The sequence below is a fragment of the Homo sapiens genome, chromosome 10, assembly GCF_000001405.40.
Source record: "Homo sapiens chromosome 10, GRCh38.p14 Primary Assembly".
NCBI lineage: Eukaryota > Metazoa > Chordata > Mammalia > Primates > Hominidae > Homo > Homo sapiens.
In genome coordinates, this window is record NC_000010.11 from 25875224 (window position 1) to 25903119 (window position 27896).

A 27896-nucleotide genomic window follows, 5' to 3' on the forward strand; every position below is an offset into this window, starting at 1 on the left:
AAAGCTCTTCCCCTCTGCCATGGTGGCAGGCAGTGTGAGTGACAATGGCTGCTCCATTCGCTTAGAAACCAAAAATAAGCCTGAGATCTGTAACGAAAGAGAAATTAAAGCACTGTTGTCAAAAACTCCTGAGATTTGGGAGCTGTCTTTACCATAGTAGAACCTGGTGCATCCTGATTAATACACAGCTAAATATATCATCGATGGGAGGATGGTCAGTTGTTATTTTACATGTATTTTGATTTAATTTCTTGATCACTTTGCCTCACCCTTGTTATCTTTTCTCATCCAATGCAGCCTAATGTTTTCAATTTTGTCATATTTTATGAGTTCTTGTAAGTCAACTTTGAGAATAGATGGGAAATGATTAAGTTAACTTAACGAATTTATGTGAACCCTGGAGAAACACCTCAGGGTGAGTTGGCTATGCAGGATAAACAGATTTTAAGTACAGCTGCTCTGGAAATTGTTTTCTTAACAGAGAAAATACCTAAGCTTAGGACTAGTAGCTGCATTTCCAGAGGGATGCACTAGAGGGCGCGTGGAGCTTGGTGTGCTCGACAGTCACGGTACCCTTTGGCCTTCTTGGGTACACTGAGAAGAGATATTGTCAAGGGATTATGGCGGGAGTTTTTGTTTGCATGATTTCCTATATTCGAAATTTCAGAAACTGGTATTGATTTACTTTCTTTTTATGCAAAATTGACCCTAAGAAAAATGAGGTTATAAAAATGTTCACTTGTCTGTAACATTATTTTATTATAAAATGTTAGAATTGAAGAGCATCTTAATGGAGGTTTATGGAGTCTTTCTTCACATCAGGAATTATTTTTCAATGCAGAATTCCACCCAAACTTATTCAATGTTCTGCTAATTTTCTGACCTCTTCCCTCAAAATTAACATGTCCTAGCTTCTATTTCCTAGGAGGGGCTTATTAAGTGGCCAGTTTGTTAATCTGGTTATCTAATTTGAAACAAAATGTTAATGGCTAACAATACCTTAGCTATTAACCATACCTACCTGTCCAGATAGAATTGTTTTTAACTGGCTGTAACATCAACATAAAAGGGAACAACATGGGTAAGTGTGGGAGTGGATTCCAGGTGTCAGTTTCATAAGCAACCTCCTGTATGATATTCATCCAAGACAACAGCTTTATTCTCAGGAGAATTACTACTCATATAATAAGTTAAATCTGGTATGATATTCATCCAAGACAACAGCTTTATTCTCAGGAGAATTACTACTCATATGCTAAGTTAAAATGTCATTAAATATTTTATAGAGGAATTTTGTTGTTCGGATTCCCTGTTTGAGGTTAATGCTACTTACTGCTTCTGGAGTTTTGGTAGGTTATAAGCTGTTTCTGTGGTTGTTCAGATCTTTGGTAATAGTAACAGGAATTGGATACAGGGTTGAAATGCATTTGTTAATCTCTAAACATTCTTTTAGTCAATAGCTTTAGCCTCCTTTCTTTTGAGGAAAAGTAAGGATAAATGAAAGAACACAAACTTTGGAGTCAAATAAATCTGGAGTTGGCCGGGTGCGGTGGCTCACGCCTGTAATGCCAGCACTTTGGGAGGCCGAGGTGGGCGGATCACGAGGTCAGGAAATCGAGACGATCCTGGCTAACACGATGAAACCCTGTCTCTAATAAAAATACAGAAAATTAGCTGGGCGTGGTGACGGGTGCCTGTAGCCCCAGCTACTCGAGAGGCTGAGGCAGGAGAATGGCGTGAACCCAGGAGGCGGAGCTTGCAGTGAGCCGAGATCGCGCCACTGCACTCCAGCCTGGGCGACAGAGCGAGACTCCGTCTCAAAAATAAATAAATAAATAAATAAATAAATAAATAAATAAATAAATAAATAAATAAATCTGGAGTTAGATACAAACTATCATCATATCCCAAGTTTTAAATTCCTCAACTGTAAAATGGGGATAAAAAACACATCTCAAAGATTTGGGGGAAGACTTATATCTTATGAAAAGTCCTTGAAATGTCTCAAAAAAATCTGTTTTCCATCAAATCTTTTGTGAAATATGAAACTCATTAATAAAATCAATGTATTTTAATTGCATTTCTGATATACAGAATTGAAATCACATTTCTAGTTAATGTTGGCAAAGTGAGGCAGCTGATAGATGGTTCTAATAATGAGATCCCCAAGGTGGACAGAGTGGACTTGGGTTTGGTGTTAGAACCCAGTGAACAATCAAATTGTGGAAGGTCCTGGCATCCCAGTCTCCCAGTGGGAGTGAGTCAATAGTGAGCCCTTTGACTGGCAGCCTCAGCCTCCCACATGAGCCTTTATTTCTGTCTCAGCTCCATCTGACAAACTCTCATGATTCCACATGAAGAGCAAGTGAAAATTTACACTAAGACAGTCAATAGAGTTTAAATCTTTGTGTTGCTTAGCCACAAGGTTCTTTTTTAAAAATTAGTCTTTTCAATAGAATAGTTAACTGCTCTGAAGGAATGTTTAGTTTTAGGGACATCTCCCAGGTCATGAATTATTATCTCAGTATCTGCTAAAATAACTGTATGCTAAATTAAATTCCATTATTGTAAACTGTCATTTCAAAGTAACTAGTTAAGTGCAACATTTTTTTTTAAACCAGTTAGAATATGTAGACCAGGCTTGGAGGCTCATGCCTATAGTCTTGGCTGCTCGGGAGGCTGAAGCATAAGAGTCCCTTGAGCCCAGGAGCTCAAGATTGCAGTGAGCCATGATCACACCACTGCACTCCAGCCCGGACAACAGTGAGACCCTGTGTCTAAAATAAATAAATACATAAGAATATGAGCCAGAGCCAATAATAGAGATATATACATATATATGAAGAAAAGTTTCTATTTTTAGTGTCTGCTGTGGCAGGGCTCCCCAACCCCCAGGGCACAGATCCGTCCTGATCTGTGGCATATTAGGAACCAGGCTGCACAGCAGGAGGTTAGGGTGGGCAAGTGAGCAAAACTTCCTCTATATTTAGAGATGCTTCCCATCACTCACAGTACCACCTGAGCCCTACCTCCTGTCAGATCAGCAGCAGCATTAGAGTCTCATAGGAGCGTGAACCCTGTTGAGAACCATGTGTGCAAGGGATTTAGTTTGTACAATCTTTAAGGGAATCTAATGCCTGATGATCTGTCACTGACCCTATCACCTCCAGATGGGATAGTCTAGTTGCAGGAAAACAAGTTCAGGGTTCCCACTGATTCTACATTACGGTGAATTATATAATTATTGTATTATATGCTACAATGTAATAATAATAGAAATAAAGTGTACAATAAATGTAATGCACTTCGATCATCCCCAAACCATCCCCCCACCACCCACCCTTGTCTGGAAAAATTGTCTTCCATGAACCCAGTCCCTGGTGCCAAAAAGGTTGAGGACTGCTGTGCTATAGAATGTGCCTTTCAGAAAAAGTTATTTTCCTAGAAAATGATCACTGAAATGTCAACAATTCTAATAACAATCTAAACCACTCTTATCTCCAGAGTGAACACAAAGGGAAATATAAAATTCCATGAAATCCTTGATTCTTTACACTTAATTTTTGTGGAGTCTTGGCTTGATGCTTGATGCTCTTTGCTATAAATCTTTTATGTTTTCATTCATTTCTTGGAGCATGCACTGATTAGATTGAGGAAGTGGGGAACACATTCTCCCTTTGGTTTCTGCCGTGGGTCTCAAAATCATTCTGAGAGGGGAAGAATCTTTTTTATCACTCTCTCTTTAGAGGAACAAGCAGCTCTGCTCAAAGGATTAAATTCCACAACTGCCTTATTATGATACCTTGTTTGAACCAGGGATGGTGGTCAAAACTGATCAAAATGCAATAGTTAACGTGTAATCCCTTGGGTCCCACGGTAACATGTAATTTCATGCATTTCAAATTTAGTTAAGTTTTTACAGCTAAATTTTGAGCTTTTTTATGCTAACTTGTATCATTTTGAATCACATATATATTATTAAGTAAGGTTAAAGGAATCTATGTCATGTAGTAATTCACTCTGTTTTTTGTTGTTGTTGTCGTTGTTTTGCTTGTTTGTTTGTTTTTGAGATGGAGTCTCTGTTGCCCAGGCTGGAGTGCAGTGGCAAGATCACAGCTCACTGCAACTTTTGCCTCCCGGTTTCAAGCGATTCTCCTGCCTCAGGCTCCCAAGAGGACGCTTCTCCACACCCAGCTAATTTTTTGTATTTTTAGTAGAGACAGGTTTCACCATGTTGGCCAGGCTGGCCTCAAACTCCTGACCTCAGGTGATCTGCCTGTCTTGGCCTCCCAAAGTGCTGGGATAATAGGCATGAGCCACCATTCCCGGCCAATTCATCCAGTTTTGATAGTTTATAATCCTTCATTTCACTGAGGAACTAGAAAACTGAATTCCTCTTTATTCTAATGACAGACTTCTCGGACCTCACTTTCAGTCCTCTCTGCATTCTTTCTCCCTCTGCCTTTCCTCTCCTCCACACCTCCTCTGGATATCTCATTCCTTTGTCCTAACTCTGACAATTAGCAGAAATTGCATGAAAACCCTAGTATTTATTTATTTATTTATTGTTTTGGAGAGACGGTCTGTCTCCGTCACCCAGGCTGGAGTACAGTGGCATGATCTCGGCTCACTGCAACCTCTGCCTCCTGGAAAACCCTTGTTATTTTTAACAAAGGATAAGCCAGACAATACTAGGAATGAGAGGCAGATCCCTGAAGAAAGGGGGGTGCAGTTCTGGGAGAGGGAGAGGTATTGGCAGTTAAGTCTTGACCAGGCCAGAGAGCAGCATCAGCTGGAGGAAGGGTGAGTCCAACAGCCAAATGGAAATGAGTGCACTGAGGAATTGGAAGAGGAAGAGCAAAGTTCAGTGAGAACCAGAAGGCAGGAGAGCCCAGCAGCCTGCCCACATCTGAAGACATGGAGCTGAGAACAGGAAATCCGTGTGGCGTTTAGGATTTGGGGTGAACCAGAGGAAGGAGCTGCTGCCCGTGTCGGTATGCTCAGGATGACGGTTGGTTTTGTTGTGAAAGACAAGAATGAAAATAGGAATGCCAACGAGACTGATTCTGAGATACTTGGAAGCCCTCAGGGTTTAGAGGGATAGATCTCACCCCATGAAGGTCTTATCTGAAAACATGTTTGGGTATATTTTAGTAGGTGGGATCAGAGCTTTCCCAGGAACTTCCCCATCCCAAAGGGAAGCACTCTTTTGAATTCTGTGACTATGCATTTGTTTTGCCTATTTTAAACTTTATAAAAAGGAATCATAAAAGCATATACTCTTTAGTGTCTCACCTTTTGCTTAATATTATGCCTGGGCAATTCATCCATGCTCATGCATGTAGTAATGGTTTATCCATTCTCATGGCTGTATATATTCTATTGACTATAGCAGGATGTATCTGTCCTTTCTACAATCATTATTTGTTTGTTTCATCGTGTGTTTTGAAACTACAATGGCCTCCCTAAAGGCAATCTTTCAAGACCATGCTGATTCTTCTCAGGGCCCAGCCTGATATGGTTTGGCTCTGTGTTCCCACCCAAATCTCACCTCGAACTGTAATCCGCATGTGCCGAGGGAGGGACCTGGTGGGAGGTGATTGGCTCATGGGGGCAGTTTCCCCCATACTATTCTCGTGACAGTGAGGGAGTTCTCACGAGATCTGATGGTTTTAAAGTGGCAGTTGCCCCGCGCTCTCTCTCTCTCCTGTCACCTTGTGAAGACGGACCTTGCTTCCCTTTCACCTTCTGCCATGATTGTAAGTTTCCTAAAGCCCCTCCAGCCATGCAGAACTATGAGTCAATTAAACCTCTTTCCTTCCAAAAATTACCCTGTCTCAGGTAGTATCTTTATAGCAGTGTGAGAACAAACTAATACATGAAGGGGTGGCCTGCCCCTTCACACCTGCGGGTATTTCTAGTCAGGTGGGACGAGAGACTGAGAAAAGTAATAAGACACAGAGACAAAGTATAGAGAAACAACAGTGGGCCCAGGGGACCAGCGCTCAGCATACCAAGGACCTGCACCAGCACTGGTCTCTGAGTTCCCTCAGCTTTTATTGATTATTATTTTCATTATTTTAGCAAAAAGGAATGTAGTAGGAGGGCAGGGTGATAATGAGAAGGTCAGCAACAAACATGTGAGCAATAGAATCTATGTCATAATTAAGTTTAAGGGAAGGTACTATGCCTGGATGTGCACGTAGGCCAGATTTATGTTTCTCTCCACCCAAACATCTCAGTGGAGTAAAGAATAACAAGGCAGCATTGCTGTAAACATGTCTCACCTCCCACCATAGGGCGGTTTTTCTCCTATCTCAGAATTGAACAAATGTACAATCGGGTTTTATACCAAGACATTTAGTTCCCAGAGGCAGGCAGGAGACAGTGGCCTTCCTCTATCTCAACTGCAAGAGGCTTTCCTCTTTTACTAATCCACCTCAGCACAGACCCTTTACGGGTGTCAGGCTGGGGGACGGTCAGGTCTTTCTCATCCCACGAGGCCGTATTTCAGACTATCACATGGGGAGAAACCTTGGACAATACCCAGCTTTCAAGGGCAGAGGTCCTTGCGGCTTTCCACAGTGCATTGTGCCCCTGGTTTATTGAGACTAGAGAATAACGATGACTTTTACCAAGTATACTGCTTGTAAACATTTTGTTAACGAGGCCTGTCCTGCACAGCCCTAGATCCCTTAAACCTTGATTTCATACAACACATGTTTTTGTGAGCTCCAGGTTGGATCAAAGTGGTTGGGTCAAAGTGGCTGGGGCAAAGCTACAAATTAACAACATCTCAGCAAAGCAATTGTTTAAAGTACAGGTCTTTTTCAAAATGGAGTCTCTTATGTCTTCCCTTTCTACATAGACACAGTAACAGTCTGATCGCTCTTTCTTTTTCCTACAAATCCACAATCCCACCGTTCCTCTTTGCTTCTGGACTTATACTAGACTCAAGTCCTAGCAGGCCCCTGAAGGTAAGGCACAAGATGTGACCTATGAAGAGATATACTATACTCCAAAAGGACTACTTGATTTTTCCAATTTATACAGCCAAATCTGGGAAATACGTGTAGGAATGGTCGTTAAGGATGTGGGATAATGGTGGAAGAATATAAGATTGGATCAGGCCAAATTTATTGATATGGGACCACTAAGCAGAGATTCTTCATTTAATGTTGCAGTTTGGGGAGTCAGAAGAAGCTCATTTGTTTGCTTGGATGGCTGAAACATGGACCAAAAAGGTTACCCACAGTAAACGAACTTGAAATGCCAGAACTACCCTGGTTACTCTAGAGGAAGGGATTGACAAGCTTATGGAGAAAGAAGAGTTGGCGTGAATTTATCATTTCAGATCTGCGCATCCACCCTGGAACACTTTTTTCCATATCTGTGAGAAATAAATGTGTGAGGAGAGCCCTACCAACCTTGAAGAGTTCTGGGGTCACTCTCTCACTAGGCAAGAACTTATAGTGGGAGCTGCTGTCACTGAATTGGGAAACCTACATTTGTATCCCATATAATATATTTGACATTGAATTTTGTGTTTTCTGGTGTTATTGCTACAATTGCCTTTCTTTTTGTCAGACTCAACTGATACATTTTATCCATCTCTTTATCTTTTGGGGGTCCTATTTTCAGGTGTGTCTCTTACATGCTATAATGTTGGGCATGCACAGCCACATTCCATTATCGAATGGGAGTGGTGTTATATTCAAGATTGGGCTTCATCAGGACCTGAAGGCATGTGCATAAATGACATGAAAAAGTGGCACGAACGTCGTCTTCACTCTCGCTACCCACCTTCTTTCTCCCAGCCAGTGTCTATGGCCTCATGAAGAGTTCCCTGCAATCAGTTGAAAAAACATGAAAGATTTCAGGCTTAATTTTAAAATGTTTTTTCATGATATACAGATACTTCCAGGAAGTGGACAGCTGCAGCACTGTAGCCCCTCTCTAGGACATTCCTGAAGGAAAGGGTGAAGGGAAATCCACCCAGTGGGGACAATTCTGAGCAGTGTAACTGTTGTTCAATTTGCTTAGAAGGAGAAATTACCAAATGTGAGATTACATACCAATTCACAGACTGTGGCCAATAGTTAGGCAGGATAATTAGGGAATTGAAAGGATTATTATTAGAAAATTGGTAACAAGGAAGTCATAGGAAGAGGTCAGAGGATAAACCTCTCAGAACAGACAAATACATAAGGTATTTGTGTCCCATGTGAATGCTCAAAAAGGCTGACCTCAGCAGAGGAGGAGTTAAATAATCAACTGGATAGGATGGCCTATTCTGTAGATACCAGCCAGTCTCTTTCCCCAGTCACCCCTATCATCACCCAGTAGGCTCATGAACAAAGTGGCCGTGGTGCCAGGGATGGAGGTGCCAGGGATGGGGTCAGAGAAGGAGGATGCATGGACTCAGCAGCATGGACTTCCACTCACCAAGGTTGAGCTGGCTACAGTTGCTGAGTACCCAGTCTGCCTGTGGCAGAGATTAACACTTAAGTCCCCAATATGGCAGCATTCCCAGGGTGATCAGTCGGATGGGTGGAAAGTTGATTATAATGGACCATTTTCATTATGGAAGGGACAGCATTTTGTTATCAATGGAATAGACACTTGCTCTGGATGCAAATTTGCAATTCCTGTATGTAGTGCTTCTGCCAAACTACTACCTATGAGCTCACAGAATGTCTACCATCGTGATATTCTGCACAGGATTGATTCTGAACAAGGAACTCACTTCAGAGTGAAAGAAGTGCAGCAATGGGCCCTTGGTCGTGGATTTTACTGGTCTTACTATATTAGCCATCATCCTGAAGCCGCTGGCTTGGTAGAACAATGCAATGGCATTTTGAAGACTCCATCACAGTTCCAGATGGGTAGGAATACCTTGCAGGGCTGGGGCAAGGTATTGCCTTCTCTGGAAGGCTGTGCATTCTCTTCATCAAAGTCCAGTATGTGATGCTTTTCCTCCCATAACCAAGATTCACAGGTCCAGGAATCTAGGGATGGAAATGAAAGGGGCATCACTTACAATTATCTCTAGCAACTTACCAGCAAAATGTTTCCTTTCTTTTCCCAAAGACTTATGTTCTGTTGTCCTAAAAGTCTTTGTTCCAAAGGAAGGAATGGTTCCACCAGGAGACACAACAATGATTATACTGAACTGCAAGTTAAGACTGCCACCTGATGCCTCTGAATCTACTGGCAAGCAAGGAAGTTACTGTGCTGGGTGGGTTGATTGATCCAGACTACAAGGGGAAATTGGACAGCTGCTCCACAATAGAGGTAAGGAAGAATGTGTCTGGAATACAGGAGACTGCTTAACATATCTCTTAATATTACCAAGCTCTGTTATTAAAGTTAAAGAAAAGCCGCAACCCCATCCGGGCAGGACTATTAATGGCCCAGATCCTTCAGGAATGAAGACCTGGGTTACCCCACCAGGTAAAACAAATGCACAGCTAAAGGCAAAGGGAATACAGAATGGGTAGTGGAAGAAGGTATTTATAAATACGAGCCACATAAACACGACCGGTTACAGAAATGAGCATTATAATTGTCAAGAGTATTTCTTCCTTATTTTGTTATGAATGTGTTTGTGACTCTGTGTGTGTGCTTGTGTGTGTGTGTTTGCAAATATCTGTTTTCTTCCTTTTCTTTTTTTTTTTTTTTTTTGAGATGGAGTCTTGCTCTGTCGCCCAGTCTGGAGTGCAGTGGCGTGATTTCGGCTCACTGCAAGCTCTGCCTCCCAGGTTCATGCCATTCTCCTGCCTCAGCCTCCTGAGTAGCTGGGACTACAGGTGCCCGCCACCACACCCGGCTAATTTTTTGTATTTTTAGTAGAGATGGGGTTTCACCGTGTTAGGTAGGATGGTCTCGATCTCCTGACCTCATGATCTGCCCTCCTCGGCCTCCCAAAGTGCTGGGATTACAGGCTTGAGCCACTGTGCCTGGCCTGTTTTCTTCCTTTTCTTATTCTCTTCTTACGCAATATAAGATTCATTGACTTGATTTCATAGTATTAAAATGCTAACTTTACATCATAGTATTTGTTGTCAAGGAGATAAGAAAGGCTATCAAGGAGAAGAGTAAACATCACCCAAGGATTTTGCATCCTCTTCTGGGGAAGGGGTCAGTGCATTTTCAGTTGTACACAGTTGCATCATTTTAGGCGGAAGCATGACCTTGTTATTGTCTTTATTTGGAAAGTAAGTATGGTTTAAGGAGCTGCGTATGGGTGCCAAGTTGACACAGGATAAATTTGTGATGGGTTATTTTATGTGTCAATTTAGGTAGGTCAAGATAACCAGATATTTGATCAAACGTTATTCTAGATGTTTTGTGGAGGTATTTTTAAGATGAAACTAATATTTAAATCAGTTCACTGAGTAAATCTGATTATCATCCATAATGTGGGTGGGCCCCATCCAATCAGTTGGAAGCTTTAATAGTAAATTTAATAGTAAAAGACTGACCTCCCCAAGAAGAAGAAAGGCTGTCAGCAGACTTCTTTTGGACTCATACCAAAGAAACTCTTCCCTGCCGGCCTACACTGCGTACTTTGGTCTTCCCAAGCCTCCACAGTCTCATGAATCAATTCCATCTCAGTACTATATATATCCTGTTAGTTTCATTTCCCTGGGGAATCCATACCATTATAGAGATGTTTTCCATATTTTTATGATAAGAACTCTTGGGCACATTCTACCAAAACTGCAATGAACTAGGTTGTTTACTACCTTTTTTATTCTTGATCAAGTATATCAGTTATGACTATTTTATTAGGCTTTTATTAGGCTTTACAAAATGTTGTATTCTTTAATTGAATAAATATACTGATTTGTATTTGTTCTGTGTTCACTAAATTTTCTTTTATTCTTATTATCTCAAGGGTTGATATGTATTTTCTCATCCTTATTTATTCTTCAGCCATTAAAAATTCTCATCTTTTCCTCTTGTGCATATCTTCTTGCCTAATTATCTTTTTGTTATTAATAGCATTGAATTATAGTCTATTATGAGTCTGTAGGAAATTTATTTTTAGGAACTTACTGCAATTTTATGTGTGGCCTATTTCACTTTGTTTTTTAATGTTCTATGTGTCTGAAAAAAATATTTCTTATATATTGGTTTAAAATTCTATTTAGATCTAAAAGATAAATCTTGTTAATTGCGTTACTCAAGTTCTCTATAGTCTTATTTCATTTTTCCTTTCTTTATTTTGTCATTTCTTGAAACATGTCATAAGTTTCCCAACATAATTGTGGATGTGTCTATTTTTTATATTAATTTTTGCCTTATTTGTGTGTTGTTAGTTACATATTTATAGTGGATATATTCTTGACTGGCTTTCCCCCATTAAAGAAATCAATGTTTGTCCCATATAATATATTTTACGTTGAATGATGTCTGGTACAGGGTTATTATTGCTACTTTTGCCTTTCTGTTAGTGTTTATCTGATATATTGTATCCACCCCTTTTCATTGTATATTTTTGGTCACATTTTCTGGTGTGTCTCTTGAATGAAACCTATAGCTAGACTCTACTTACATATCGGAATACCTCTGTGTTTTATTAGCAAAGCTTATCAATCAATTAATGCTACTGTTATCACTGATACGTTTAGACATATTAATGTCATTTTATTGTATGTTTTCTTTTTCCATACTTTCTGGTTTCCTTTTTGTTTCCTTTTCTGCCTTTTGCTACATTGATGGATCATTGTTTGTTCTATTTATCTTTCCTCTGTTGGGAAGTTGTTCCTTCTAAATCCTTACCTTTGTGACCAAAAAAGATGTATGCTAAGATGAATCTTTAGTTTCCTAGCATACATACTTTTCTAACATATATTTTATCTTCAAAATTTACAGTATTATTGTGATCTCAACGTACAGGGCAAGAACATTTGCACACTTTTGCCTCCCTCCAGGTGTAGCTTGCTTAGGCTGCCTGTCTCTGCCCTATGTTGGTACCTTTCTAAGGCCCTACCTGTACTTGGAGCTCAGCCCCCACAGGTTGTGAGCAAATGGCTCTGTTGTCTGTGTTGAGTGCAAGATGAACTGCATTCATCTTGCAGTTCAAGATGCAATTGTCCAATAATTATCCTGAAGACTGCCATAACGCTCTCTCCTGTTCCTTGGGCTTTTTGTCTCTGGGGCTGGAGCTCCCTGGAACATATCCTGGCTGGACAGCATGTTTAACGAGCTAAGATTTCCCCCTTTTACTTTTCTCCATAGAGCTGCTCCTGATTGATTTTATACCAAGGATTCTTCAAAATTTCTGGTGCATTGATTAGACTTTTTTTTTCCCATACGATTACGGATTTTTTTTTTTTTTGCTTTGTTCTAACATTATCCCATAATTATCATGGGATAATTGTGGTGATGGAAGCATATGTACTTAGACTGTCATTTTGACCCATTCTTATTTCCCTCTATGTTCTTTTTTACTCTGTACCAGCCACATTCGTCTAATAATGACCCTATGGGCACATATGCTTTGCTTTTCTTCCTCCAAGCCTTGCTTATTCTAGTGAGACGCTTGCTACATATTTCTTGTATTATTCTTTGTTTATCTTAAGCGCTTTCTGTTCCTTGAAGGTTTAGCTTTTCCTCACATTTAAATGTTAATATTTTCCTCCACTCAATTCTTATGGTCCTAAATTTGAATCTCTGTTATGAGCAAGTTGTAGCATAAATAAGAATTTAATATTTGCGGGCCAGGCACAGGGGCTCACACCTGTAATCCCAACACTTTGGGAGGCCAAGGTGAGAGAATCACTTGAGCTCAGGAGTTCAAGACAAGCCCGGGAAACATGGCAAAACCCCATCTCTAACTAAAGTACAAAAAAAAAAAGCTGGCTGTGGTGGCGTGCACCTGTGTCTCAGCTACTCAGGAGGTTGAGGTTGGAGGATCGCTTGAGCCTGGGAGGTGGAGGTTGCAGTGAGCCGAGATCACAGCACTGGACTCCAGCCTGAGTGACAAAGTGAGACCCCATCTCAAAAAAAAAAAAAAAAAGAATTAAATATTTGTGAACTTATTACCTCTTGAGAACAGAGTATGTTATCTTTCCTCTCTTTGGATTCCCATTGCACATAACAATGCCATCCTTATAGCGGGCGAAACATTTGTGACTAAAATTGAATTAATTTGAATTTATGACCAGCTCCTATCAATAACAGAAAATTCTTCTATATAGTGTGCTTGGACTGAACAGTTCTATGATCATTGTTTATTTATTGTATTATGTAGTATTTTTTATAACATCAAATATTTGTTGAAAAGCATAGTGAAGCATAAGAAAATAAATTACGCTGGTGATTAACTTTTGTCCTTAAATTGAATTGACATCTTTGTCACCCCTCCCCCCGGCATTTTCATATGAAGAACCCCAAGAAGAATATTAAAATATTAGAATATTTCTTCTTTGCTCATTACTTATAGACATTAGCTGCTATCAAGTATTTTCTTAAACAATGCTATCTACGCAGCACACACACCCTTAATCTCGTGCAGGGAGTGCTACGCTGAGGCGAATCCTTATTTATGACAACACTGCCCCCTAATCATTCACGCTGCTCAACCTCATCACAGGTCTTTCCATCAGAGTGTGTCTCCATGGTAACACAAGCCAGATTTGGCCATTTGGTTATGGCTTGGAACACAAAGGTCACTTGAAGGTTTATGACATTTGGATTTTGGAGCACATTTACAAAACTACCAATTCTACTTGGTTTTGACATTTGGATGCAATCTTTATTAATAGTATCTTTCCCTTGGCATACATACATGTTTCCATTTGGATTATGTTTGTTTATTGGACAAAAGCAGCCAATGTAACCAAGTTTAATAAAATTCACCGTTTTTCTTCATTACATTTCTTTCCAGAAAATGATACTTTGTGCTTAAAAAGTGCTATGCAACAAAATCATTTGAAAATATAAATCACTGAGATTGCTAAAAATATCTCCAACTGTCAAAACTAAAAGGTTGATTACTGATTTATCGTGTTCTCTTTTACCTCAATATCTAATTATGTTTTAAACGTGTATTGAAGTGGGATAACATAATTATTCCATTTGTCAACATACATTGCTATCTTTTTATGTCCAGAAAGTATTTGATTTGTAGATAGAAAGAACAAATGTATTTTTATTGAAATATAATCATTTGCATTTAAATGGGAGAGTATCTAAAAAAAGGAAACCTTTAAGTCTTTAAGAAAGAAAATGTTTAAAATCTTCAGTCTTGTAAAAGAAAATTTAAATATTAGGAAAAGCACATTTGTTTGTGGATAATAAGGCTCAATATGAGAGTCAATACTTTTCAAATATATCTATTTAAAATAATAATAGCGTGAACCCTGGAGGTGGAGCTTGCCGTGAGCCAAGATCGTGCCACTGCACTCCAGTGTGGGCAACAGAGTGAGACTCCATCTCAAAATAATAATAATAGCTAACACTTCCTAATCACTTTCTATGTGCCTGGTTCTGTTTTCAATACTTTGTAGATATTAAATCATTTAATCCTCACAGTGACTCTATTTTACCAATTATCTCCATTTTACTAATGAGAAACTAATACACAGAGACATTCATACTTGCTAAAAGTTATATAACTAGTACTGGTATAATCAGGTTTCAAATCCAGGTAGTCTGGTTCCGAAGCCTAAATTAGCCTCTAAATTGAGGGGATTACAATGAAAATTTACATAAGATTATTTCTTCAGAATTAAAAAACACCTTGAGGCCAGGTGCAGTGTCTCACACCTGAAATCCCAGCACTTTGGGAGGCTGAGGCTGAAGGATCACTTGAGGCCAGGAGTGTGAGACTAGCTTTTCTCAACAATTTACTTAACAAGGAACCTAAAAGTAGGCAGTTAAGGACCAGTACAGTGGTTCTACAATACCTTCAAGAGACAATGATTTCCTCTTGAATTTCTTCTTAGTCATCCTCAGTGAGTGCCTTATCAAGCTTATTACTTCATGGTGACAAGAGGGCTGCACTTGATCCAACATCAATTTTGGATTCCAGTAAGCAAGAAGAAGAAGACAAATGAGAAAAAGATATAAGCCAGGTGAGTTGCTCCCCTTTAAAGAACTTTTTCAGAAAGCCCTCACAGTGATTTTAGACACTGCAGTTACCTAAAACTTTTGTATGAACAAACTGAGTAGCAAAGAAAGCTGATTAAAAAAAAAAAAAGGGCCAGGCGCAATGGCTCATGCCTGTAATCCCAGCACTTTGGGAAGCCGAGGCAGGTGGATCATGAGGTCAGGTGTTCGAGGCCAGCCTGGCCAACATGGTGAAACCCCGTCTCTACTAAAGATACAAAAAACTTTGCCAGGCATGGTGGCATGCACCTGTAATCCCAACTACTCAGGAGGCTGGGGCAGGAGAATCACTTGAACCCAGGAGATAGAGGTTGCAGTAAGACAAGATCGCACCACTGCACCCTAGTCTGGGTGACAGGGTGAGACTCATCTCCAAAAAAAGAAAGAAAGAAAGAAAAAAAGATAGGTCTGTGACTGAGTATATTGCCACTCTGATGAAAATCAGAATCTAAGAGTAAAGAAAGATTATTGAGGCAGGTCTAGAATAGCCTTTGCTCTAGAGCTAGTTTGTCCTCTTACTAAGGTATGGCCCTTTGTGTACTCTGTGTGTTCAACAATGAGCATTCTCACTTTGGCTAGTCAGGACTCAGCTGCTTGGAAATGTTCAGTTTACAACTCCCTGGAAATTTCATCCTAAAGGGCTTTTTTTTTTTCTTTTTTTCTGGGTAGCTCCCTCCACTCCAGGACCTTTTCTGGAAAATTCTAGCCTTTTCAACCTCCATGTACTCCAATCTCTGACAACTCAACTCAGGGACACTGTGACATTCTGCTTGGGTTTCCCCTTCTTATGATACAGTTCTGAAATCCTTCCTGTCAATCATCTGAAGCAACTGAGGCCTCATGCAACTCATTTCCCTTGTCCCAGGTGTCATACTGAGTTAGTAGAAAAATTCCTGAAGAATTCCAGATACCTCCTAAATGTGGTATATGATCTATAAGTCATTAATCCTCTGCTATAAAAGAGACCAGGCTTCCATAAACAAACTCCAATAGTTCACAGTCTTTGGAAAACGATTATTATTTATCACTTTAAAGTTACGATTATGTAAATATATCACATCTCATAATAAATGTGCTATTAAATATTTGCTTTTTAACATTAAGGAATAGGTTACTACTTTTGAGAGCTTTACAGATAATTTTATAATAGGCCTGAAGAGGAATGCCATGTGACTAGGATTCCCAAATCCTGCTGTAAGTAAAACTACTTCATGCCAGATAGACTGTGAAATGGGAGAATTCCCTGACCTCCATCACAGAACACGCAACAGGGTGTGGCTCATCTGTTTGGCCACCACACTCTCAAACCCCTTACAAGAGGGGGAGCAGGCAGACGGGCAGATGCAGGAGCTGAGGTGCACACTTTTGGGCTCTAGCACCATGGTAGCATCTAGGGATGGGTGTCTGTGACTCCCAAAGCCCCAGTGGATCTGTTACTGTGCTCCTTTAGCTCTGCCATCTGCAAACTTTAAGTGTTAACCAGTTCAGTGCCCTCTTGGTACTCGGGTCCTTGTCTGGCATCCAGGAAAAATCAGGTCACATATGGACTTGAAGGATGGTGAATGCAGGGATTTTACTGAGTGGTGGAGGTGGCTTTGGCAGGATGGATGGGGAGCTGGAAAGGGGATGGAGTGGGAAGATGCTCTTCCCCTGGAGTATGGCCATCCCACAGCCGAACTCCTCTCCAACCATCCCCAGCTGAACTCCTATCAACGTTCAGATGCTCTTCCCCTGGAGTTTGTCCATCCCACAGCTGAACTCCTCTATAACCATCCTCAGCTGAACTCCTCTCAATGTTCAGATGCTCCTTATCTTCTCTCCTCTACAACCATCCTCAGCTGAACTCCTCTCAATGTTCAGATGCTCCTTATCTTCTCTCCTCTACAACCATCCTCAGCTGAACTCCTCTCAATGTTCAGATGCTCCTTCTCTTCTCTCCTGCTCTGCCATGCCACTTTTCTGTTCCTCTGCTCTTTTGCTCATCTGCTTTTCTCCTCATCTGCTGGTGGAGCCTGTTGTTTGGGGTTTATGTGAGTACAGGATACAGGGGTATGGTGGGCCAAAAAGGCAAAATTTGGGTTCAAAAACAGGAATGCCTGTTCCCATTTAGGGCTGCAGGTTTCCAGGCTTGAGGATGGGTTATTTGCCAGGCAACCACCCTCTTCTACCCAGTATTTCCTTGCTTCCTGTCTGTATCAACTGCAGTAACTTTTATAATCATATTAAAGATATTTTAATAATAAATACAATTATGGTAATTTAGGGTAAATTATAATGTTTCATACAGAATTCTTTTGTGGTTGTGCTTTTGTTTTTGTTTTTGTTTGTGTTTTGTTGACCACTCAAAGTGCTTTTAACCAGCTCTCTAGTTTTGCCTAGCTCAAGGAATTGAAGATGTTAGCTCTCATGTAGAAGAAATAACTGTGCACAGAATGATTCGATCAGTAGCAAAAAGACTGGCTTGCACAACATCTCTTCTCCATCTCTCTTATCTTGGGATCACACCTAAGAGAGATCAGTTAATTCCACCAGGTGAAGAAGGCAGGCTGGAAGGTGCTGTTTTCTAGACATAATTTCCTGGATTGGACAAACGCTGCAGATACAGGTTCTAGGAGGGATGTCAGTCAAGCAGAGAGAGCTGGGAATCCAGAGCCTAGGAAAACAGACATAAGGCACCCTGTGGTGGGGAAGGGGGATTCTACACAGCTAACAGAAAAGAAGCACATGTAATTCCAAAGTGGATGCTATTTAGGATCAGGTAAGCAGAGAGAGCTTGCATGCAGGAAAATCTATCACAGCAAGAAACCGGCAAGGACTCTAGGATTCAGAGCAAGAGAGCCAGTCTCTTGAAACAAGACTAGAAAGAGGAATGCATTCCATATATCTAGAAGGACGATGGTACTACAACAGGGACAAGGCAGAAAACCTCAGATTTGAGTTGAATCAGCCACAGAAGGATCCATTCAGGGTCTCAGAGTGTCGGGCAAGAACTCGTCCTTCCATCCCCTGTAAAGGTTGATTTGACCTTTTAGGCTTTTGTGAAGCTGAGTCCAGTAGAAGGAGTCCAGAAGCAGAGCTATGGGAAGAAAAAGACGATACTGCATGAGAACCCTGGCAGGAGATGAAACCACCAGCCTTCCTGCCATGTGCTCAAATGTCTTATCTTTAGAATAACTTTTAGGGAGTCTTTTAGAGGATCTGTTAATGTGAAATATGCTACCAGAGAGGTGACATACTAAGCCCCTAAGAGATCAGTCATTAGCATGTATTAGTTTACCAGATTAGCCATTAGTTTCCAACAGAGAAAGTAAAGGCCTGAGGGAATAAAATTCAGACATTTAGATTTAAAGGAGATTTAAAGGGAATAGAGTTCCAGAGCAGGTAATCTAATACATGTTACAAATCAGGGAGAAAGTTGTCCTTTATGTTCCTCGTTGTGCATTTCCTTCTAAGCCAACATGCCTTGAGAATTTACTATGTGCTAGGCACGTCCAAAGCACTTTAAATAGATTAATTGATGTAACCTTCCAATCCTATTGGTACATTTTATCATTTTTACTTTAGAAATGGAAATATTGAGGCTCAAAAAATTTCCCAAGATTACATAGCTGGTAAGTGGCAGAACCAGGATTCAATCTGTGTCTGATGGCCCAAATATTCGTACAGTAAAAGGTCTTTCAAAGTCCAAGTGAGAGGCGTTGATGTTTTCACTAGGGAAGGTGTCATTGGCAACAGTGAGATAGAAGTGGAGCAAAAAGAAAGTATCACACAGAACAGATCAATAGTCAACCAGTATTTGTTGGGTGCCAGTCATTACCAGAGATTGTGCTAGGTACTAGGAATACTGTCACTGAGAAACCAGATGTGATCCAGACTTCATGGGGCTCATAGCCTTACAGGGAAAGAACATTCCTACACTACAACCATAGTGATTTAACAAACAAACAAACAAACCTACAAGTAAGTATAAACTTTACAAAGCGTTGAAAATAGAGGTACCAGGTGAGGCTACCATCAACAGAGGTAACACTTCTGTTTTGGTAACTGTCATATTTAAGCAAAAGGAAGGAATTGAAATAATTCTGAAGTACACCCATCTGTAATCTCAGCTACTCAGAGAGCTGAGGCAGGAAGTCTGCTTGAGGCCAGGAGTTCAAAACTAGCTTAGGCAATATAGCGACACCTCATCTCTCTAAAAAAATATAATAAAAGGTATTGTAAAGGTTAGAAGAATGAGGATAGGAAAATCAGGGAGTAGGGCAATTTGCAGGAAGGGGAAAAATGTGCTGAGATGGATTTATGATGGTAAATTCAAGGTGAATTTGAAACATCCAAGAATTATCCACTAAACAACCAAAGATACAGGCCAGGTACCAGAAGCAAGGGAAAGAGATGCTGTTGTGAGCCCTGGAGAACCACTTTGTACACAGCCAAGCTGCATACAATGCAAGAAGGGTCTCAGAGCTCCCCCAGATATGATCTTCAGTCTGTGTCCATGTCTAGGGCTGCCCATGTGGTAGTGGTGGGGAAGGAGAGGTCATGGAGGGTAAAAACCAAAGTTGGTAGCAGCATCTGGTATCTGAAACTAAGAATCACTCAAAAATTTCACAATTCTTCTCTTTAAATAACAACAATAGCTAAAATTACCTGTGTCTATTGTGCCTGGATACAATCTAGTTTAGTTCTCTTTACAACACCATAAAGAAATCACTGTTATTAGATCCCCAATGTAACACCAAGAAAATTTAAGTTCAGGAAAGGTAAGTAACTTCCCTAAGTCCCATCTCTATAAAGGCTGTATCCAGGATTAAAGATTCAAACTCGGGCCTGAGCTTTAAGGACTACAGATCAAGAGGAGGAGGAATAAAATGACTTTTCCTTTCTTAAATTCCTGGTGTGAAAGGGTAGAATGAAATTCCCAGCCAGGCACAGTGGCTCACACCTGTAATCCCAGCAGTTTGGGAGGCCAAGGTGGGAGGATCACCTGAGGCCAGAAGTTTGAAACCATCCTGGCCAACATGGTAAAATCCTGTTTCTATTAAAAATATAAAAATTAGCTAGGCATGGTGGTGCATACCTGTAATCCCAGCTACTCAGGAGGCTGAGGCACAAGAATCTCTTGAACCCAGGAGGCAGAGATTGCAGTGAGCTGAGATCGTGCCCCTACACTCCAGCCTGGGTGACAGAGCAGACTCTGTCACAATTAATTAATCAATTAATTGTTTAAAAGAATGAATTGTCTTATTTTACCTGGCAAAAGCAAGATGTATGACTTTACACCCCAATGCTACTAGAGGAGAACTTCATTAGTCTGCATCCCTCAGAATCTAAGGTACTTTAGATACTTTGTCAGACCCCGATAGTCTGAATTTTGTCTCATCTTCTCAACCTTTCAATTGATTGAGATAATGGGTACTCCCTCTGTGTGTTCAAACTAACCTTCCCTTTGTGGTTGCTTCCATAAGAGATTGGAAGATGGGGAGGAAAAATACAGAAGGAGACATAAAAGGATATCTAATACTGGAAAAATCAGCTTATCAAGAAACGCTCCCAAAATATCCTTGGAAATACTCAGATGTTGTACCAGGATAACCAAATGCAGAAGGAAGAGCTGTCTCTTTTCTTAGCACTCGCTAGAAGCGGAGAGTAACCATGGGGAAATTACCTAAGCTCTTTAACCTCTGTTCTTCCATCTATGTAAAAAGGCTACCCTGAAAGTCACCCTGTGGAGCTCTTGTAAGGATTTGATGAGATAATGCTTATGTGTTCTCCGTACGGTGTGTGGTGCTGAACAAGGCCTCATTAAATGTGTGTGTGTTTAAAAAAAACAGGTAATATATATGAAAACTTCTATAAGCCCTAAGTGCTATATAAATGTGACTATTTTTTAAACAAAAAGAAAAAATAGACTTAGTTGTGTAATGTGAATATGCAGACATCTAGGAAGATCTCTTTCTATCCGAAATATTGATGTCACTGTTTCTCTTTAAGGCCTTTTCTATTTGGTCATGCTTAAAGTAATAGTATCTAAAAGCTACTTAGTATTTTCTATGCAAACGTGCCATTGCAGAATTGAGTAATAAAAGTTGCACCTTTGAAAACAATATGAAACATTTAAGCACCAATGACCTAGTAGCCTCATCTAGCTTTGTGATTCGTTATCATGCAACATCAATGTTTCCATTGTCGATCTGCTGTTTCAGATAACAATGCCGTCTGGACACTTGCCTGCTGGCCATTTAAGAGATTAGGGGCTTTTTTTTTCCCTCCTTAGTCTACCACTGTGTTCATTCCCAGCTATACAGTTACCATTTGTAAATCAGTGAAGCAAGAAATTAAGGACACACTAGCAGCCCTGCCTGTGGAATACCAATAAAGACAAAGGTGTAGAGTTGCTTTGCTGCCTTATTGCTGCCTACCATACACCCAACTAAAACATCACTCCTCCAAATGAGCACAGTTATCTCAGTCACCAGGAGGAATAAATGAGGCACAGTGATAACCAGATTAGGATACAATGAAATAAATTTTCTGGATTTTATAGTATGAAAATGAAAACCTGTTTATTTTCTAATGCTTTGTTTTCATGTTTTTGTGGTTTGATTCTTAGGTTAATTTAGATTTTAATTCTATGCTGTCTGGGGTGGTTCCCTAGCTTTGCTTTGAAGTGCAAATTGTTCTGCACAAATGACACCTGATAATTAGGAAACAAGGGGGTAAGAAAGTTGTTGAAATACAACTGAGCGATTCTCTTTGTATGGAAGAATCAAAATCTACCTTCCTGGTTAGTTACACTCTCCTGCAGATGCTCTGATGAACTGTCTCATCAGTAAGAAGCCACCAGCATGTCTGTATCCTGCCAGTATATTGTGTACAACATATATTCTTCCCTCTTAAAAATCCAGGGCACGCAAAAGAAACAGATTCATACGTAACAACATTTGGGAAATGACACAAAATCCTCAAACTCCAAATAGTTTCCTAGGTCATTGGACCATTCTTCCAAGTGTTCTGGCAGCAGAAAATACTAGTCCATTGACATGTAAGATTTTTTGTGTTGGGAAATTACCCTAACAGACATTATGATGTAATAGAATGCTACAATAATGAAAACTGCATGGCTGTGGCAAAGTAATCAGCAGACAGAATGAACAGCCCTGAAATTTATTTGAAAATAGAATGTACATAGGGAAGGGATGCATTTATTTCATAAATTATATGGGAAATTGGCTAATTACTTGAAACAATAAACAAGAGCTTCAGCTTATAACATGCCCCAATTAAATTCCAAATGAGGAACTAAACATAATAAAGGAAGCCGGTAGAAAACTAGAAGAAAATGTGAAATAAATAATTAGTTTAGTGGGGCAAGGACTTTCTGATATAAACATAATGGAAGACACTATAAATGTTTAAATGATGACAGGTTTACATAAACCAGTATCCACTAAAAGAAACTAGGACTCTTTGGAAAAATGGCAGATTCGAGGGCTGGGGTAAGAAAGTACAAGATGGGTCTAGAACATCTCATTGTGCCAGAAAATAAGAGCTTAAAGAATATGAAGATACGTCCAAATGATATAGGAACTTCCACTGGCCAAGTCTGGGATTATTTGAACATAAATATAAATGATAATAATAGATTATACCCTATCGAATCAATTAGGTATCCATGAGTCTATATTGATATAAATTAATAATGAATAATTAAAATTTTGAGGGAAAGTAGGATAATGTAGTGATATAGGAGTTAAGAAGAAATTATTTAGGCAGATAGTGAGGGTAAGACAGCCCACAGTACTGCTTTCTTTTTAATAAAAAGCAGCCTCCAAATCATTTCTTTTCTATCAAAAAAAAGCAGCCTGCAAAATAGAGCTGCAAGCATAGATAAGCAAGCTCGAAGCTTGCACAGGTGAATGCTGGCAGCTGTGCGAACAGGGAAAGGCTACCTGGGGGCCAGGCATGTGTAACATGGCGGCTCCATCTTCCCTTTCTTTCGTCAACCACGTGTACAATAAGGAACAGACAACATGGCCCTGGACAGGTAGAGAACTGATCTGCAAAATAAAAGATTAGGGTGGGGTGGCCAGCTTCTTCACGTGCTATGTAAATGGCACATCTGGTCCAACCAATCTTTGGACCCTGTGTAAATCAGACACAGCCTCCTCAAGCTAGTCTATAAAACCTCCACCCTTCCCTCTCCCGCAAGCGATTCTGTTTTTCTTTCAGCTATTAAACCTCTACTCTTTTTCTTTTTCTTTTTTTTTTGAGACAGAATCTTGCTCTGTTGCCCAGGCTGGAGTGCAGTGGCTCCTCTCTTAAACTCACTTCTTGTGTGTCTGAGTCCTCGATTTCCCTGGCCTGAGATGACAAACCTGGGGTATTTACCCCAGATAAAGACGAATGATGCTGCTTCAGTAGGATAACACAGCTTCAAAATCCTTTCCTTCAAAACACCGTTACTGAACCAAACTTAGGTCTGCCCACCCAATGAAACAAAGCCAAACGCTAATATCAGGATTTGCAGCAAGAGAAAAGTGAGGCATTTATTGCAGGGCGCTCATGCTTAAGACCTGAACTCCCCAATGAGTTACATGTAAGGGTTTTTAAAGGCAGTGAGGCAGGGGTTCCAGGCAAACTCATAAATCTATACATGGAGGTTATATATTGATTCGACTTAAAAAAAAAGAAAAACGGACATTTTGAAGCGGGGGCCTACAGGTCCTGGGTGGATTCAAAGATTTTCTGACTTGTGATTGGTTAAGGACAAAAAGATTTGTCTAAAAATTTGAGGTCAGCAGAAAATAATGTTAGCTGTGGCCCGTGGGTTTTACCCCCTCCAGGCCCCTCAGGAAGAAATTTAGAAGAAAGAAAGGTGGTCACAGTTCAATCCTCGGTTCCCTCTATGTGCCAGTGGATGGCATTTTCCATCTCATGGGAAATGGGGTTTCTGAAAAACAACTCGGGGATATATGTTAAGCTGTTATCTTTTGTTTCTATAGGAAACCAAACATCTTGTGACTCTAACTTCCTTGTCTGTTGTTTTAAGCTACTATTACCTTCTTGCTTATCAAATTGCTCATTTACTTCTCCAGGCTAGCTAGGTGCCTGGAATTTCCTTTGAAATAACTCAAGATTTCCCTTTCTTTCCATGCTTGTGGGGGATGGGGCGTTGGGCTGGCGGGCCCCTGAGAGGCATCACTCCTCCATCTCAATACTATACTCACTAAAGACAAAAGGGAAAAGATAAACTTTACAGTGAAGGATCCTGACAGATATCACCTTAATCAAATGTTTAATGTGCCAATCACTAGTAATAGGACAAATCTAGGTAGTGTTCTGCCTGGTAAGAGATGATGAGAAGACTAGAGCCTGCCCTCTGTGATATCCCTGACAAAGGTGCATAACCTGAATTTAATCATGAGGAAACCTCAAAGAAACTCATGAAGGACATCCCAAAAAATAATTGATGTGTAATCTTCAAAAGTACCAAGGCTGTGAAAATCAAGGAAATACTGAGGAACTGCTCTAGATTTGTGGACACCAAAGAGACGTGACAATAATATGTAATGCGATTCTCAATTAATCATTTTACTAAAATACATTGTTGGGACTACTGGTGAAACTGGAATGGGGTCCAAAGATTAGATAACGATGATGTAGCATGTTAACTTCCACCAATTTTCCATGGTGGTATTGTAATTATGTAGAAGAATATCTTTGTTTATAGGAGATGCACTAAAGCATTCAGAGGTGGCGAGGCCTCCTGTAGGCAGCTTAGTCTCAAATGTTTCATGAATAAAAACATTCTTGCAATTCTTTATAAGTTTGAGATTGTTTCAAAATAATAATAACCTTAACCAAAGAACAAGTGTATCTGTTCCAAATTCTCTTTTCCCTTCTGCTAGTTAGGTACATCTAAATATTGTGTTTGTATCATAATATATTTTTGGTATATCTGTTACCACAGTTTAATCTTCCCTTGCACAAATTTAAATGTCAAGCAACAGGGAAATTATTATGCCATAGCCATATCCTAGAATATTATAAATATTTTTAAGTGTTTTTGTTTTGACAAATAGGTAACAACATGGGAAGATTCTCTTGGTGTTCTATTGTTTTAAAATGAGAGTAAAGTAAAATAGTATTTAAAAAATTAATGTGATTCTGAAAATACTTTTACAACCTAAAAGGAAATATGCACTTCAACCAAGGTTATATCTTGGTAGTGTGAATATAGGTGATTCATTTTCATTTTTGTTTTGGCATTATGTCTCAATTTCCTATAATGACCATTCATTTGTAAAAAAAACATTGAAATTGCAATAGCAATTAACATAAAGTGATATGAAGAGGAATAAGAAAAAACTGTTGATTAAAGAATGAAAGAGCACAGGGAACTTCACCTGAAAATATGGTATATGGTATACTGAGTGTTTTGAATTAAAGATCAGACAGACCCACCAAGAACAATGGAGAACAATCCATCTCAACCCCCACACCCCCAAATCCTCTCCCTATCCCAAAGCACAGATAAAGTTGTCTTATCTACCTAAAATCTAGACCTAACAGAGAAGAAAACAATAACCTCAGGTCCTTTCTCTTAAGTTTTCATTTGCTGAACCCATATCACAGGAAGGAAGACTAAAGTCTGACAACAAACCTGGATAAATTTTTGTCACAACCTTTATCCGCTCTGAGGGCCCAACAGACTTTGCCCTAAACCATTGTATGTTCTTCAAGCCCACTGAATTCCCCTAAAAATTATTTACTATCTCCATAAAATGATCCACACTTTTCCCTAAGAAGTAGGGTATGTAAGAGGCTGTATCCCACTGGGACATTAGGCAGTCACTCTGTGATTCTCCCTGTGTACATGGTAGTAATAAATCTGCATGCCTTTTCTCTTATTAATCTTCTTGTTAGTTGATTTTTCAGCAAACCTTCCAAGAGCAAAGGGGACACTTTCCCTTCACCCCTGCAGAAGACGTCTCCGAGGAAGTGAAACATTGGTGGATATATGATAGAAATCATCATGGTAAAGAAAGTATTACAGTAAGACTGAAAACCAACCATTTTGCCCAAGGGACAGACCCTCAGCTGTGACTCTGCACCTGATCTCTGTGGCTTTGCTGAAATGTAGCTTTAACCCTGGAGTACCCTAAAGGTGAGCACCAGCGCGATGGAGAGGTGAGAGCACAGACTTTGGCTGTTGGCCTCAGTTTCTTCCTCTGCAGTTTGGTGTGAAGCTCAGAGATGGTGCATGGAGCCCCCAGAGATAGTAGCTGGCACCTGGAGACCCATGCCCTGCTTGGGCCACACCTCTGCTGGTGCAGGGAAACCTGGGCAACCCGAGGTGGACAGACCAGTTCTACTGGAAGCTGGTCCCCATCACCTGTACTTTTCCCACAAAAGACTCCCTTCCTTATCCCCTTCCTCACTCACCCACAAAAGAACCCTTTCCTTATCCATGACCTGTACTTTACCCACAAGAAACCCCCTTCCTTACCCACTCCCTTCCTTACTCAATCTGGCAGGGCTCAGATTGCAATAAAGAAGGGTCAGTAATCCACAAATCCAAATATTCAGTTTCCTGGCAGACGTAGAATCATTCATATTCTTGAATCAAAAGGATCTGTTCACGATTAGAAAAAAAAATTCATCTAACTGCGTTTTTCATTAATAGAAACTGCATATAGAAATCCTCTAGAACAACATCATACACCATGGAGTTGACAATTCATCATGCTCTATTCTAGGCTCGGCTTCAGCATATTTGAAATCAGCTAGGAGGCTTCTGTTGATACAAAATACAGTATTTGTAGACTGATCTAGTCCTGCAGCAGGTGGTAAAGAAGTATGAACTGAAACTGCCATATGGCGGTGTGAAGGAAATGTTTCTCTCCAGAGAAATACTTGAAAGTGTCATAAAAACAGTAAAAACATTTAACAGCTCAAAAGGCTTAAATTCAGTATGTACAGAAACTGTGTCAACTTTGGAGTCAGGCTGCTTTCATTAAAATCTCAGCAGATAGATGATAACTTTCACTCGCGTCCATGTGAAGAGACCACTAAACAGGCTTTGTGTGAGCAATAAAGCTTTTAATCACCTGGGTGTGGGTGGGGTGAGTCCGAAAAGAGAGTCAACGAAGGGAGATAGGGGTGGGTCCATTTTATAAGATTTGGGTAGGTAAAGGAAAATTATAGTCAAAGGGGGGGTTGTTCTCTGGCGGGCAGGAGTAGGGGTCACAAGATGCTCAGTAGGGGAGCTTTTGAGCCAGGATGAGCCAGGAGAAGGAATTTCACAAGATAATGTCATCAGTTAAGGCAGGAACAGGCCATTTTCACTTCGTTTGTGGTGGAATGTCATCAGTTAAGGCAGGAACCGGCCATCTGGATGTGTATGTGCAGGTCACAGGGGATATGATGGCTTAGCTTGGGCTCAGAGGCCTGACAATACCCAGGCAGATAAGTAATGTGACTTTGTGCAAGTGACTTAAACTCTGGAGCTTTGGTTTCCTCATAGAAAAGAGGGAATAGACCCTTGGGATTATAGTGAAAATGAAAAGAAATAGTGTATATACAGCAACTAGCCTAGTCTCTGGTCTATGTGGAAAACGCTTGATAAGATTATCATTGTCATGATTGTTTTTATATTATGAATACATTTGTTGTGTTACATATAATTCACGTCTACCTTCTGTGAAAGTATGTATAGGCATACAGATGGAGATGGTAAGAGAAAAGAGGAAGAGAAAGAATCAGAAAAATATACG

General features: G+C 40.1%; 2 long non-coding RNA genes across 2 annotated transcripts, besides 2 other annotated features; one reads left to right on the forward strand and one right to left on the reverse strand.

Moving 5' to 3' along the window:
* Positions 442 to 621: a silencer, noted in NCBI's record as "silent region_2234". NCBI's record gives its function as "represses an Ori minimal core promoter by ATAC-STARR-seq in GM12878 lymphoblastoid cells {active_cell/tissue: GM12878}" and the evidence as "EXISTENCE:reporter gene assay evidence [ECO:0000049][PMID:35858748]".
* LOC124902396 (uncharacterized) lies at positions 7481 to 22140 on the reverse strand. The gene is made up of 5 exons (XR_007062091.1): positions 21898 to 22140; positions 18047 to 18196; positions 14919 to 15009; positions 8747 to 9008; positions 7481 to 7846 (listed from the first exon to the last, which is right to left on the reverse strand). It is a non-coding gene; the product is annotated as an uncharacterized LOC124902396 (long non-coding RNA).
* LOC124902397 (uncharacterized) lies at positions 20380 to 26702 on the forward strand. The gene is made up of 2 exons (XR_007062092.1): positions 20380 to 20452; positions 26047 to 26702. It is a non-coding gene; the product is annotated as an uncharacterized LOC124902397 (long non-coding RNA).
* Positions 26305 to 26414: an enhancer, noted in NCBI's record as "active region_3163". NCBI's record gives its function as "activates an Ori minimal core promoter by ATAC-STARR-seq in GM12878 lymphoblastoid cells {active_cell/tissue: GM12878}" and the evidence as "EXISTENCE:reporter gene assay evidence [ECO:0000049][PMID:35858748]".
* Positions 26703 to 27896: the final 1194 nt, after the last annotated feature.